General features: G+C 45.1%; 2 long non-coding RNA genes across 2 annotated transcripts in view; one reads left to right on the top strand and one right to left on the bottom strand.

Moving 5' to 3' along the window:
- Window positions 1-633: 633 nt before the first annotated feature.
- The window catches only part of NGF-AS1 (NGF antisense RNA 1), an 85,039-nt gene continuing 71,184 nt past the window's right edge, over window positions 634-14,488 (bottom strand). Inside the window, exon 2 of the long non-coding RNA NR_157569.1 lies at window positions 634-3,036. This is a non-coding gene — a long non-coding RNA (NGF antisense RNA 1). The remainder of the gene's footprint in view (window positions 3,037-14,488) is intronic.
- LOC112268234 (uncharacterized) lies at window positions 3,810-12,039 on the top strand. The gene is made up of 3 exons (XR_002958345.2): window positions 3,810-3,934; window positions 5,121-5,250; window positions 11,913-12,039. It is a non-coding gene; the product is annotated as an uncharacterized LOC112268234 (long non-coding RNA).

Here is a 14,488-nt window from a genome sequence, read left to right as displayed (position 1 = left end):
AGAGCAGATGGGTCCCCATCTAGGTAGGTGACTGGCCAACCTTGCTCCCTTCAGAGGTCTGAGTCAAAGCCACCCACAGCACACTTTTAGCTGAATCTACTTCCAAAGGGACAAGTTTTCGCTATCTAAGCAGGTGCGTAACCCACCAGAGGAAATTATTGAAAAGTGTGTCCTCACCCACAGTGCTAGCATTTTTAGCTGGGCTTTTTTTTTTTTTTTCAATCAAGATTTGACATTGAAGAATGTGTTCTAAGAAGCATAGAGTGTTTAGTTTCCTCTTTGGATAATGCGTCCTCCTCTAATCACTGATACCTCATGACAAGCTCTGGCTCTGCTTTGGACAAAGTGACCCAGAAAGCCACAGGCTTGTGGGTCAAGATAAATATGAAAGCTAAGAATACACCATCCACATTTATCAAAGTTCCGTTAAAGAAAGCAATTTCCTCCAAAATATTTATTATTTACTAAGGAAAAACAGTAATTTCACAGCAGAAAAAAACCTGGCAGACACCAATTAACCAATCTATTAAAGTTAATATCACCAGTAATGAGACATATTGACTTCATGTACTCCTTGATAGGATGAACTCAGAAGGGCACAGCCCTTTTGTGGTATTCATGATGATAATGCATTGCCATGATCTAAATATGTGAAAACATCAGACCAACTCAAATCAAAAGACATTCTACAAAAACTGACTTCAAAAGAACTGAGGTTGTGCAAATGTCCTTCGACAATTGAATGCCTAAACAAACTGGTCCATCAAACCATGGAGTACGACTTAGCAAGAAACATGAATGAATTATTGACCAATGCAACAACATGGATGGATCTCAAGAAAATTAGGCTGAGTGAAAAAAAGCCAATCTCAAGAGATTACATACTGTATAACTCTATTTATATGATATTCTTGAAATGACAAAACTATAGAGATAGAGAACAAATTAATGGCTGCCAGGGATTGGGAGCTGGGGATAAACGGAAATAGCTATAGAAGGGTAGCACTGGGGGTCCTTGTGATAGAACTGTTCTCTGGTAGTGGCCATATGAATCTACACATGTGATAAAACTGCACAGAACTGATACAAACAGACACACACACACACACACACACACACTGATACACACAGGTCCATGTGAAACTGGTGAAATCTGAAGAAGATCCATGTACCTCATCAATGTGAATTTCCAAGTTGTGATATTATGCCATAGTTATTGAGATGTTACCAATGGGGGAAACTAGGTGAGGAATATAGGGATCTCTCTGTATTATTTCCTGCAACTGCATGTGAATTTAAAGTTATCTCAAAATAAAAAGTTTTAAAAACATATGTTGAAGTTGTCAAGAAAAATTTGGGACAATTACAGATTGGAAGAGACTAGGGAGTCGTGATAACTAAAGGCAATTTGAGATCCTGAATTGGATCCTGAGCCAGAAAAAGGATACTAGTGGAATAACGTCTGTAGTTAGGCCCATAGTGTCGTACCAATGTTCATTTCTTATTTATGATCAATGTATTATTGTTAAGTATGACAGTAACACTAGGGAAAGCTAGTTGAAGGATATACAGGAACTCTCTGTACTATTTTTGTAAATTTTTCTATAAGTTTAACATAATTTCAAAATAAAAAACTAAATAGTCTATGAGAAAAGATTTCTTCTATCTTAATTAATAAAAATCTGATAACTGCTTTTTAAACCTATATTGAAAAGCTAGTAATTAGAGTAAGCGAAATTAAAAACTAAGTGAAAACAAAGGGCATATGTAATTTCACAATATTTTTACCTATAGATTTCTACAAGGTTAGAACCATTGACAGCAGCTGTAATATAAAATCCTCTTCCATTTTTCCTTCCAAGTGACTCTACAGTCCACTCTGTTAAATTTCCCCATCTGGTGCTCATATCTTAGAGCAACTCTCTGCTCCTGATCGTCCTGTCCTGTGAACGTTCTACCTCCTGCTCCCCTCACCTGCCCTTTGTAGTGGAGACTCAAGCTGGTCCTGTGGCCATTTTGGCTGGTTCCAGTGAACCCACCCAGGCTGTCTCTAGTCTAGAAGGGTGACCCACCATGATTCAGCACTCTTTACTACAGGATGGGTTGAAATGCTCAGTAAAGATCCCACCACATGTCATAAATATGAGATAGATTTCTCCACACCCCTGGTCTCAGTGTCACACTCTCAGGTCCAGGGAACTCAGAAAAGACAACTGACTCCCACCCAGAAGTTGCACTGTGCAGGCATGTTCTTGGGTTCAGCTTCCGCCATGTTCCTAGACCAAGTTATCTAAACAAGCCAGGTTTTGCTTTGGAGACTTTTTTCCTTCCTTTAAATAAGTACTTTTCCAAGCATGGAATTCAGAGGAGAGGTCACTTTTTCTTCATGGGAATCTGTCTGCTTTCTTTTTATGGTCATTTCTATATCAAGAAGGTCCTAGGTCCAGTAAACCATGAGGTATTCTAGCAAAGCTCTGAGCAAGTATCCCCACGTTCACTTGCTGTCTCACCACCTCAAGTCTCATTCAAAGGCCACACTCCTCCAGTTCCCTTAGTCTCCGATTTTTCTGCTCAAGTGGAAAGAAATACTTAATGCTACACCATTTGTTTCTTCTTTGGGTTCTTATCTTTGCAGCTCTGGTCCATGGCTGACTGGTCTGGTTTTCATCCATCTAACTGGAGAGGTTATAGCAGGATGGACAGAAGTTTGGACATAGTGGTCTGGGAAGACTTCTCCCATAAACCTGACTTGATGCATCTGTCCTGCTGGCAGCGGAGGCCCACCAGGCTTCCAGCTGGCTCTTCGCCTCTTCCCAGAGGCTCCATCGGATGAGGAGCTCCGTCATATTCTTTACTCTGGCAGAAGCAGTCTTCCTGTCCAAGATCCACCCCAGAGAGCTAGGCATGTCATAGGCCAGGTATGCTGCGAGCAGTCTCCCACCCCAGCAGGTACACAAGGAAGACCCAGACATTCAGCAATGAGAATCAGAGTGGGGGATCAGACTTGCCAGTCCTTGCTTCTTCAGACCCGTCTTCCTAAAAACAACCAAAAAATCCAGATCAATTGGGTGATTCTAGCTTACAATTGTCTATTTTATATTTCAAAATAACTGGAAGATAACAATTGGAATGTTTCTAGCTAAAGAAAGGACAAATATTTAAGGTGATAGATATACCAATTACACTGAGTTAATCTTTACAAATTATACAAATGTATGAAATTACCACATGTACTCCAAAAACTTGTACATCTATTATGTATCAATGAAAATAAAACTAATTAAAAACACAAAAAACAAAGCCCCCACATTCATCTTTGTCTGGTTATGTTAGGTGAACCAACAGAACTTAGAGCTAAGTTTCCAACATTCAGGCTCCTGAATAAATCTGTTCATTTTTATACAGAAGATCAGGCCTAGAACTTCAGGTACTTTATTTCCAAGCCAAAGTCCTCTGACACAAATGACTTTAAAGGAAATCTACCCATCCACCCAAATCCCACTAGTATAATGTTAAGAAAATCCACTGCATTAATATCTTAAGTTGTGGCTGACCAGGGGCATTGGCCATGAAGGAGAAGGGGAAATAGTCCAAGACAGGGAAGGAACTGTTTGGTATTTCAGGCCTGCCTCAAGGGTCTCTGTCACTTTGGTGAAGCTGCTAAGCTGAGAGGGTTTCCAGGTCTCACAGACCGACCTCTTCCCACTGGCAGTCTGTTGGCACTTACTGAAGGTTGGCTAATGACTGTCACATGGCTGCACTTTATATCTCTGCCCCAGGGCTCAGAGCACACTGCAGCCACAGCTCCAGGTACAAAGTGGCACCAGGAGGGACCAGCCACTGTGCTTTGCACCCAGCCTCACTGCACCTTCTGGTGCATCTGGAAGGTCCTGAAGGAGGAGTTCCAGGGCCCCGGCTGCCATGGGCCCTGAAGGTGGGGGAAATACTTCACGGAACTCAGTGACATTTTCTTTCTGTTTATTCTTTATGTTTTAATGGAATTCTGTGGTCCAGACTTGGTTTCAGGCTTCATGCTCTCAGAGTCAGCTAAAGTACAAAGGGGGCGGGGGGAAGAGAAAGTAGTGGGAAAAATTAGATTCTTGATTTGTGTCCAGATGGTACTGGACAAAAATAGACTCAGAGATTCTCACTGCAAACTTGCCTCTGGTATGAAGCTCCCCCCACCCCCCTTCATTTAAAATCTTCTTGGTAGAAGAGGGAATGGGAATGGGAAAAATACTGGGAACGTTCATTTTTCTTTTTCCCAGCCATATATTAAAAGTCTTGCACAGGTTCCAGTTGAGGACTTTTGTGCAAAACCAGGAGTCACACCACATGCAGGCGTCTGGGGTGATGTGATTTCAACCAACTTGGAAGAGCCCCTCGGTTGCTGGCCTGAAGGCAGGATGGAGGGAGCAGTGTGCTCTGCTGGCAGCCTCAGTGTGTGACATGCTGGGAAGCCCAGCAGCAGCTGGCCCAGCTGTGGCTCTGAAGGGCCCAACCTCAGCCTTTCTAGGAGCAAAGCAGCCACCCACACTCCCTCTGGTGCCATGTTCATGGAGCTCAGATCAAAAGGGACACAGGCCCTGGGGCTCTGGGCCCGCCACACCTTCAGGAAGCAGCAACATCCATACATGTGCAGTTCTCCACCGCTCAGAGAGAAGCTCACAGGGCTTTTTCGGTGCCTGCTGGAAGGCCAGGTACAGAGTAAAGGGCACACAGTCCTCCTGAGGAGAGCACGGAGAGCACTGAGGAAGTCCACTTGTTAGAAACACAAAAATGTGACAGATTTAACAGCTCATGTGAGATTCCCCAGAACATGGGCTTAATCACAAAACCAAAGCAACCCAGAACCCCATCCAAGCCAGCTTGAGGCCATACCCTGTGTGGTTCTCTCATCCCAAAGCTTATCCCAGAATTTCTATCATTCCTTGCTGTTCTCTGGGAGTGCAGTCCATGAGTTACCAAACAGAGCGGACGTCAAAGTCCAAGACCTCTCTCCATGGACTGGCAGCCCAGTGGTGGTCAATCAGATGCCAACAAAATGAGCAGAGGCCAGTTAGAAGGTGCTGCTTTTTAATGCAGCTTTCTCACAATTGGGTTTTCTTCCTAATATTTAGGAATAGTTCGGTGCTGGAGCTGGGCATGGGAATAGAGCCAAGCATTTGAGAGGCAGGGACCAGGCAGATGTCAGAAACAAGAACCAGCAGACGTCCAAAGAAGGCATCTGTCTGAAGGCCAGGATGCAAGGTGAGAGCTGCTACCAGCCACCAAGACAGACACTGCAGGAGAAGCACAGCCCAGGAAGTGGCCTTCAGGCACTGGGGTTTAGATGCAGGAACCTCTGTATAGTTGCCTGTGGCCACATCTGGGTTCAGGCCCTGATGTCTTTCAGAGCTTGAGGGTTTGAACTGAAACTGTTAAACTTCCTTAATCCTCTTCACCTGTGTGTTAAGTGTTTTCTCAATTTCAAATCAGCATTAGGTGGAACCTCATTGTATGGGCAATGCTATCAATATATTTGAAAAGAGAATAATATTTTGTTAATCTTTTTTAAAAAATCAGCTTCTGGATTCATTGATTTTTTGAAGGGTTTTTCGTGTCTCTATCTCCTTCAGTTCTGCTCTAATCTTAGTTATTTCTTGTCTTCTGCTAGCGTTTGAATTTGTTTGCTCTTGTTTTTCTAGTTCTTTTAATTGTGATGTCAGGGTGTTAATATTAGATCTTTCCTGCTTTCTCCTGTGGGCATTTAGTGCTATAAATTTCCCTCTAAACACTGCTTTAGCTGTGTCCCAGAGATTCTGGTATGTTGTGTCTTTGTTCTCATTGGTTTCAAAGAACTTATTTATTTCTGCCTTAATTTTGTTATTTACCCAGTAGTCATTCAGGAGCAGGTTGTTGAGTTTCCATGTAGTTGTGTGGCTTTGAGTGAGTTTCTTAATCCTGAGTTCTAATTTGATTGCACTGTGGTCTGAGAGACTGTTTGCTATGATTTCCATCCTTTTGCATTTGCTGAGGAGTGTTTTACTTCCAATTATGTGGTCAATTTTAGAATAAGTGCTGTGTGATGCTGAGAAGAATGTATATTCTGTTGACTTGGGGTGGAGAGTTCTGCAAATGTCTATTAGGTCCACTTGATCCAGAGCTGAGTTCGAGTCCTGAATATCCTTGTAAATTTTCTGTCTCATTGAACTGTCTAATATTGACAGTGGGGTGTTAAAGTCTCCCACTATTATTGTGTGGAAGTCTGAGTCTCTTTGTAGGTCTCTAAGGACTTGCTTTATGAATCTGAGTGCTCCTGTATGGGGTGCATATATATTTAGGATAGTTAGCTCTTCTTGTTGCATTGATCCCTTTACCATCATGTAATGCCCTTCTTTGTCTTTTTTGATCATTGTTGGTTTAAAGTCTGTTTTAGAAGAGACTAGGATTGCAACCCCTGCTTTTTTTTGCTTTCCATTTGCTTGGTAAATATTCCTCCATCCCTTTATTTTGAGCCTATGTGTGTCTTTGCATGTGAGATGGGTCTCCTGAATAGAATACAGCACACTGATGGGTCTTGGCTCTTTATCCAATTTGCCAGTCTGTGTCTTTTAATTGGGGCATTTAGCCCACTTTTATATTTAAGGTTAATATTGTTACATGTGAATTTGATCCTGTCATTATGATGCTAGCTGGTTATTTTGCCCATTAGTTGATGCAGTTTCTGCATAGTGTCGATGGTCTTTACCATTTGGTATGTTTTTGTAGTGGCTGGTACTGGCTTTTCCTTTCCATATTTAGTGCTTCCTTCAGGAGCTCTTGTAAGGCAGGCCTGGTTGTGACAAAATCTCTCAGCATTTGCTTCTCTATAAAGGATTTTATTTCTCCTTCACTCATGAAGCTTAGTTTGGCTGGATATGAAATTCTGGCTTGAAAATTCTTTTCTTTAAGAATGTTGAGGGCAACCCCGCTCGGGTCCCCTTCCACATTGTGGAAGCTTTGTTCTTTCACTCTTTGCAATAAATCTTGCTGCTGCTCACTCTTTGGGTCTACACTGCCTTTATGAGCTGTAACACTCACCGCGAAGGTCTGCAGCTTCACCACGAACCCACTGGGAGGAATGAACAACTCCAGATGCACTGCCTTAGGAGCTGTAACACTCACCGCGAAGGTCCATGGCTTCATTCCTGAGCCAGCGAGACCACGAACCCCAGCAGAAGGAAGAAATTCCGAACACATCCAAACATCAGAAGGAAACAACTCCGGACACGCCACCTTTAGGAACTGTAACACTCACCGCGAGGGTCCGCGGCTTCATTCTTGAAGTCAGTGAGACCAAGAACCCACCAATTCCGGACACATAGGGACAGCAATCCACTACTTGCCATGATGTACGATTGAAGCCTATCACCCCTTCTGCAGCAGTGGCTCCAGAGAGCATCAGTAAAGATGGCAAGATTGAAATCCAAGCAACAGGATTTCCACTGAATAGAAATTTCTGAGGAAAGTGTAAGGACAGGTGTGAGAACTCTGGTGGCAAGGATGAGGAAGCATCCCCCTTCTCAAACAGGAAAGAAGAGCCAAGAGGCCTGAAAAGGAGCTGGAGCCAAGAAGGTGAAAAGGAAGTGAGCAGCGTCTCTGCCTGGCCACCCATCATCTGGGATGTGAGGAGCCCCTCTGCCTGGTCGCCCCATCTGGGAAGTGAGGAGTGCCTCTGCCCGGCCGCCACCCCATCTAGGAAGTGAGGAGTGTCTCTGCCTGGTCGCCCATCGTCTGGGATGTGAGGAGCGCCTCTGCCTGGCCGCACAGTCTGGGAGGAAGTGAGGAGCGCCTCTGCCCGGCTGCCCCGAATGGGAAGTGAGGAGCACCTCTGCCTGGCCACCCCCTCTGGGAAGTGAGGAGTGCCTCTGCCCAGCCGCACCATCTGGGAGGAAGTGAGGAGCACCTCTGCCCGGCTGCCCCAAATGGGAAGGGAGGAGCGCCTCTTCCTGGCTGCCCCCATCTGGGAAGTGAGGAGCGCCTCTGCCCGGCCGCCACCCCACCTAGGAAGTGAGGAGCATCTCTGCCTGACTGCCCATTGTCTCGGATGTGAGGCGCACCTCTGCCCGGCCACCCAGTCTGGGAAGTGAGGAGCACCTCTGCCCGGCTGCCCCATCTGGGAGGTGAGGAGCGCCTCTGCCCGGCCGCCCCGTCTGGGAGGTGAGGAGCGCCTCTACATGGCCGCCCCGTCTGGGAAGTGAGGGGCGTCTCTGCCCAGCTGCCCCATCTGGGAGGTGAGGGGTGCCTCTGCCCAGCCGCCCCACCTGGGAAGTGAGGAGCGCCTCTGCCTGGCCGCCCTTCGTCTGGGAGGTGGGGAGCGCCTCTGCCTGGCCGCCCCGTCTGGGAAGTGGGCGCCTCTGCCTGGCTGCCCCGTCTGGGAGGTGAGGGGCGTCTCTGCCCAGCCACCCCATCTGGGAGGTGAGGCAGCCCCGTCTGGGAGGTCAGGAGTGCCTCTGCACGGCCACCCCATCTGGGAGGTGAGGAGCGCCTCTACACGGCCGCCCCGTCTGGGAGGTGAGGAGCACCTCTGCCCGGCTGCCCCGCCTGGGAAATGAGGGGCGCCTCTGCCCAGTGGCCCTTTGTCTGGGAGGTGGGGAGCACCTCTGCCCAGCTGCCCCGTCTGGGAAGTGGGCACCTCTGCCTGGCTGCCCCGTCTGGGAGGTGAGGGGCATCTCTGCCCAGCCGCCACCCCATCTGGGAAGTGAGGAGCGCCTCTGCCCAGCCGCCACCCCGTCTGGGAGGTGAGGGAAATCTCTGCCCGGCTGCCCCGCCTGGGAAGTGAGGGGCGCCTCTGCCTGGCTGCCCTTCATCTGGGAGGTGAGGAGCGCTTCTGCCCAGCCACCCCATCTGGGAGGTGGGGAGCGCCTCTGCCCAGCCGCCCCATCTGGGAGGTGGGGAGCGCCTCTGTCCAGCCACCAACCCATCTGGGAAGTGAGGAGCGCCTCTGCCTGGCCACCCCGTCTGGGAAGTGAGGAGCACCTCTGCCGGGCTGCCCCGTCTGGGAAGTGTTCCCAACAGCTCTGAAGAGACAGCGACCATCGAGAATGGGCCATGATGACGATGGTGGTTTTGTCGAAAAGAAAAGGGGGAAATGTGGGGAAAAGAAAGAGAGATCAGATTGTTACTGTGTCTGTGTAGAAAGAAGTAGACATAGGAGACTCCATTTTGTTCTGTACTAAGAAAAATTCTTCTGCCTTGGGATGCTGTTAATCTATAACCTTACCCCCAAACCCCTGCTCTCTGAAACATGTGCTGTGTCAACTCAGGGTTAAATGGATTAAGGGCGATGCAAGATGTGCTTTGTTAAACAGATGCTTGAAGACAGAAAAAAAAAAAGAAAGAGAAAAAAAAAATCATTGAAGGATTATTTATGCCCTATGGCATCCCTTTCTCCAACACTTGTCACCTAATGACCAGGGATCAATACCCACAAATACAGTAAGACCTATTTTTAAAGGTTTTCAGCTTAACTGTTTTGTCTCTTAATAAATTTTTATATAGGAAAAAAAAAAGAATGTTGAATATTGGCCCCCACTCTCTTCTGGCTTGTAGAGTTTCTGCAGAGAGATCCACTGTTAGTCTGATGGCTTCCCTTTGTGGGTAACCCAGTCTTTCTTTCTGCCCTTAACATTTTTTCCTTCATTTCAACCATGGTGAATCTGACAATTATGTGTCTTGGTGTTGCTCTTCTCAAGGAGTATCTTTGTGGTGTTCTCTGTATTTCCTGAATTTGAATATTGGCCTGTGTGGATAGGTTGGGGAAGTTCTCCTGGATAATATCCTGAAGAGTGTTTTCCAACTTGGTTCCATTCTCCCAGTCACTTTCAGGTACACCAATCAAATGTAGGTTTGGTCTTTTCACATAGTCCCATATTTCTTGGAGGCTTTGCTCATTCCTTTTCATTCTTTTTTCTCTAATCTTGTCTTCAAGCTTTATTTCATTAAGTTAGTTTATATTTGACTGTGCTTTATACTTGACAAAGCACTTTCACATTTCTTGTCTTTTTTGGGCCTGATAATTACTCTGCAAGTTAAAAAGGAAAAACTCCAAGTACCATTACGCTCCGTGAGGACAGGGACTATTTTGTTCATTGTTGCAACCTAAGCACTTAATATGTTGCCTGGTCCAGAGTAGATACTCATATATAAATACTTGCTGAATAAAGGGATGAATGGGTGGGTGGTTAGATGAATGGAATTTGCCTTAATTTTCAAGATGGATTCAATTTCCAATTCCACTTACTGGTGAGAAGCCTTGTCTAAGTCTTTAAACCTTACTTTCCTCATCTATAAAACAGTGACAATGATATTGTTTCTGCTACCACAATGGAAAAAAGGACAGAATTACTTAGTGTCATAGTGATCAGGAATAAAGCCAGGGCTTGAAGCATCTCCTGATTCCTAGGGCATTGTTTGTCCCAATGTATATGGCAGAGGGAGAAAGAAAACCGTTGAGTCTTAATCTGTCAGGCACTATTTTATGAACTTTAAAATCCTCATAGCAGGGCCAGGTGCAGTGGCTCACACCTGTAATCCCAGCACTTTGGGAGGCCAAGGCAGGCAGATCACTTGAGGTCAGGACCAGCCTGTCCAACGTGGTGAAACCACATCTCTACTAAAAATACAAAAATTAGCCAGGCGTGGTGGTGCATGCCTATAATCCCAGCTACTTGGGAGGCTGAGGCAGGAGAAATGCTTGAACCTGGGAGGCAGAGGTTGTGGTGAGCTGAGATTGTGCCACTGTACTCCAGCCTGGGCAACAGAACAAGACCCTATCTCAAAAAAAAAATCTCATAGCAGCTTTATAGAGTAAGTATTATTATTCCCAATTTACAGATGAAAAAAATTAAGATTTAGAGAAGTAAAGTGACTTGCCCAAGTTTCCACACAGTTAGGATGGGATTAGAATGCAAGTCTACTGACTTCAAAACCCATTTTCTTTCGCCACCTGCAGTATTTTCATATTAGCTCACACTAAATCCAATGTTGGAGGCCTCCCACTTTCCCCATCCACTTTGGAAATAAGATTGGCAATATCTGCCAGTGACTCCAGTCCCGCAGAGAAACAGCCAGCCGAGTGGTCATCATGGTTTTAACTATCGACCAACACGTAAAAACAATCTTGCAAAGTTGGAGTATTTTGGCAAAATCATGGCTATCCATTGCCACATTCTAGATAATCAAACCACTTCTGGTTGCCTAAATGTTTAATTCCAGACCATTTGAAAAATAGCAGGTAATGGTAACCTTTATGAGACTGATTCTATGGAACCATTTATGGCCCAAAATAAACTTGAGGTATATAAAGATTTACTGTGGAAGTCGCGGTGTAGGAAAACCTGCAGGAAAATGAAAACAGGGTTTAGTCTAAACCTTTTCATAGCCTTTCTATTATAGTAATTGGCTGAGTTATCTTCCATCCAGGAAGCAGGTATACAAAGCAACATGAGACTCAAAACTCTGATTCAGAATGTTCCAATGTGGGACACACCTGTGCTCAGGAGGAAGGAAAGAAAAATGGGGTAGAGGAGAAAGAAAAAGCTTTAATCCTGGAACAAATGGAAACTCTTAACATGCAGGACTCAAACATGCCGGTCTCCAAGATGTGTTTCTCTATTAGTTAAAGCTCAGCTACAAGTGACAAAGAACTCAGCCCAATTAGTCTAAAGCCAAATATTAATTTATAAGTCTATATAACTTACAAGTCTGAATGTTTGTATGCCCCTCAAAATCATATATTGAAGCCGCCAATGTGATGGTATTTGGAGGTGGGGACCTTGGGATATGATTAGGTATAGGTGAGAGTGGGGCACTCATGGTGGGATTTTAGTGTTGTTATAAGAAGGACCAAAAATTTCTCTCTCTCTGTCTCTCCTCTGGGCAATGTGAAGATACAGTAAGTAGGCTGCCAGCTGCAAGCCAGGAAGAGGGCCCTCACCAGAAGCCAACTATGATGGCACCCTGATCTTGGACTTCCCAGTCTTCAGAACTGTGAGAAATAAATGTCTGTGGTTTAAGCCACCCAGTCTCTGGTATTTTGTTATAGCAATGCCCACAGACTAAGGCATATGTCCAGCCTCAGGCACGGCTGGCTAGAGGGATCAAAGCTGTCCTTATCACCTTGTTAATCTGTCCCCGTATCTCAGCTCTGCTTACTCACCCAAGGCTCCATTGTCAAGAAAAGCTCATGTCCCAGTGCAACCCAAGCAGCTCCAGCTTACATTGCCTCAGGTTTAAGTTGGAAGGACAGCCTACTTTGAGGTCTCTCCTCCCAGCAGAATCTCATTGCATCTCACTGAGCCTGTCAGGGCCACATGCCCACTCCTGAACCGAGCTCTGTAGCCAGGGAAAGTGATGTGCTGATTGCCTTAGGCCTAGGCCACAGGCTTCACCCCTGAGCCTGTGGGTGGAGCATCACTCAAAGAACCCAGAATAAGGTGAGGCCACCAGCTCATCAAAGGACATGGCGAGGGTGCTGAAGACACAAAGAACACAGCCTACCAAGCAGCTTAACAGAGGCTGGGTGGGAGCCAGGCCAGATCTCAAAAAGAAACCCTCAGGACCAAGAAAAGAGTGATACAGCAAATAAACAGATCAACACTAGAAAGTAAATAGATCAACATCGGCAAATAAAACACTGACTTTTCCCAATAATCTTGTAACTGAGTTTGTTATTGAGCCTTGAAATATTTTAAACTGAATTATAAGTTAAGAGGGGAAATTTGTTGAGATGAAAATTCATACCTTATGTAGCTTAAGCTTCAAAACCCAGAACCCAGGACTCTGTAAAAAGGTTGTTTATCCTAGAGAAATGCTTTCTTATTAAATAATGTACAGGTGTGCCTCGCTTTACACTGTGCCTGTATTCCTAAAACACTGTGCGTAAATTGAATTTGCGATTCTTTTTTCAAATCTGGGGCACTGAAAGGGGCATTGCAAAATGCATTTCTGATATGTGGAAAATCTCCCTATTTTCTCTATATGTTTGAGTTGTAGCTTACTGGTTTTTTGTAAAGTGGATCCTCTTGGTATCCTTACACACACACACACACACACACACACACACACACACAGAGAGAGAGAGAGAGAGAGAGAGAGAGAGATCCATGACCCGCTGGATATGGACAAGCAGTACCTGCAGAAGAAGCTTAAAAAGTTTTTTTCCTCAATGGTCTTTTTCCATATGAGTCTGTCCTTGAGGGAATAAATCTTTAAATTCACTTCCCCAGATTCTATTCCTCCCCAGACAATAAATTTCATAAACAAATGGCCCTTCGGCAACTTGACAGCAGAAAGACTCCAGGAGCCAATACTCCCCGAGCCAACAAACAAAATTCTGTTTCAATAATGTCTGTTTTCATCAGATCAAAGTTCAGACTTCTGAACATCTCAGTGGTACCAATTAGCACAGCAGTCTGGCTAAGTTAAACAGATTTCACCAGCAGAATCTAATCCAGAGAGGTGGTGTCACAAGGACAGATGCCAAACTAGGAATATATTGTGGACTGTGCTGATTTGTTGATTTGGAAATTCTGTTTAAACTGTTGATAAAAGCTGATATTCAATCAGTGCAAACTAAAGTTGTGCTGATTAGGAATTTTCTCTCAAATAGCCTGGGAACTCAGAGGTTTCCTTCGGCCAAGGGAATGCATGACAATTTTTTTAAAAACAGCCTCTTCCAGCAGCAAAGCTCTAGAATATATGAATATGATAATGATATAACATTCTAAAAGCAAAATGGCAAAAAGACATATTTTTGGCTCCTGTATCATAAGTCTTTTTTCAAGAGAAAAAGGAGGGAGAGCAGATTGTAAAGGACTTACAAGTGCTTGTCAGACCTTATTTCATCATCGCCTGCAACCTCCTTCAGGAAGGAAGCAGAAAGGGTCTTTCCTAGAAGGAGCAGGTAACTCTCTATTTAATGTGGTTTCCAGGGGCACTGGAGCCTCAAACCCAGGGAGCACCTCCCCAAACTGCTGTCCTAATGCCAAGGCTCCTTCCATGGGGGTCACTCTGCTAAAGGCAGCTGTTCTTGGGAAATGCTGGCTTAAAGCTACTAACATGTAAAGCAGTGATGTCAGAACCTCTCGTGAGAGGCAAAATTGATGATATCGGGCATTCATTATGGGAACTATCTCATTTAATCCTCCAAGCAACTTTATAGAAATGCATGTTTTATTACTATCTTTTTACAGATGAAGAAATGGACAAACACACAAAGATAAAAAGCTCCCTTGGGCTACACAGTTTCAGTTTAAGGCTACATAGGGTTTGAAGAAGCAACAGGGTTGGGAAGCCACAGAGAGCAATGAGCACAGGTAAGTTTTACCTGCTTCACCATTGCCCCTGGGGCTAAGCCCCAGACAAGTCACAAGCACAGCTCTCCCTGTTTTCCCAGTAAGAGAAAGGGGACCCAACAGGGATGGGGTAGGGCGGGGGTGGAGAGCTCCCAGCAAGTAACCTGCAA

This window comes from Homo sapiens, chromosome 1 (genome assembly GCF_000001405.40).
Source record: "Homo sapiens chromosome 1, GRCh38.p14 Primary Assembly".
In the NCBI taxonomy this organism is placed as follows: domain Eukaryota; kingdom Metazoa; phylum Chordata; class Mammalia; order Primates; family Hominidae; genus Homo; species Homo sapiens.
This window is presented reverse-complemented; position numbering and strand designations above follow the sequence as displayed.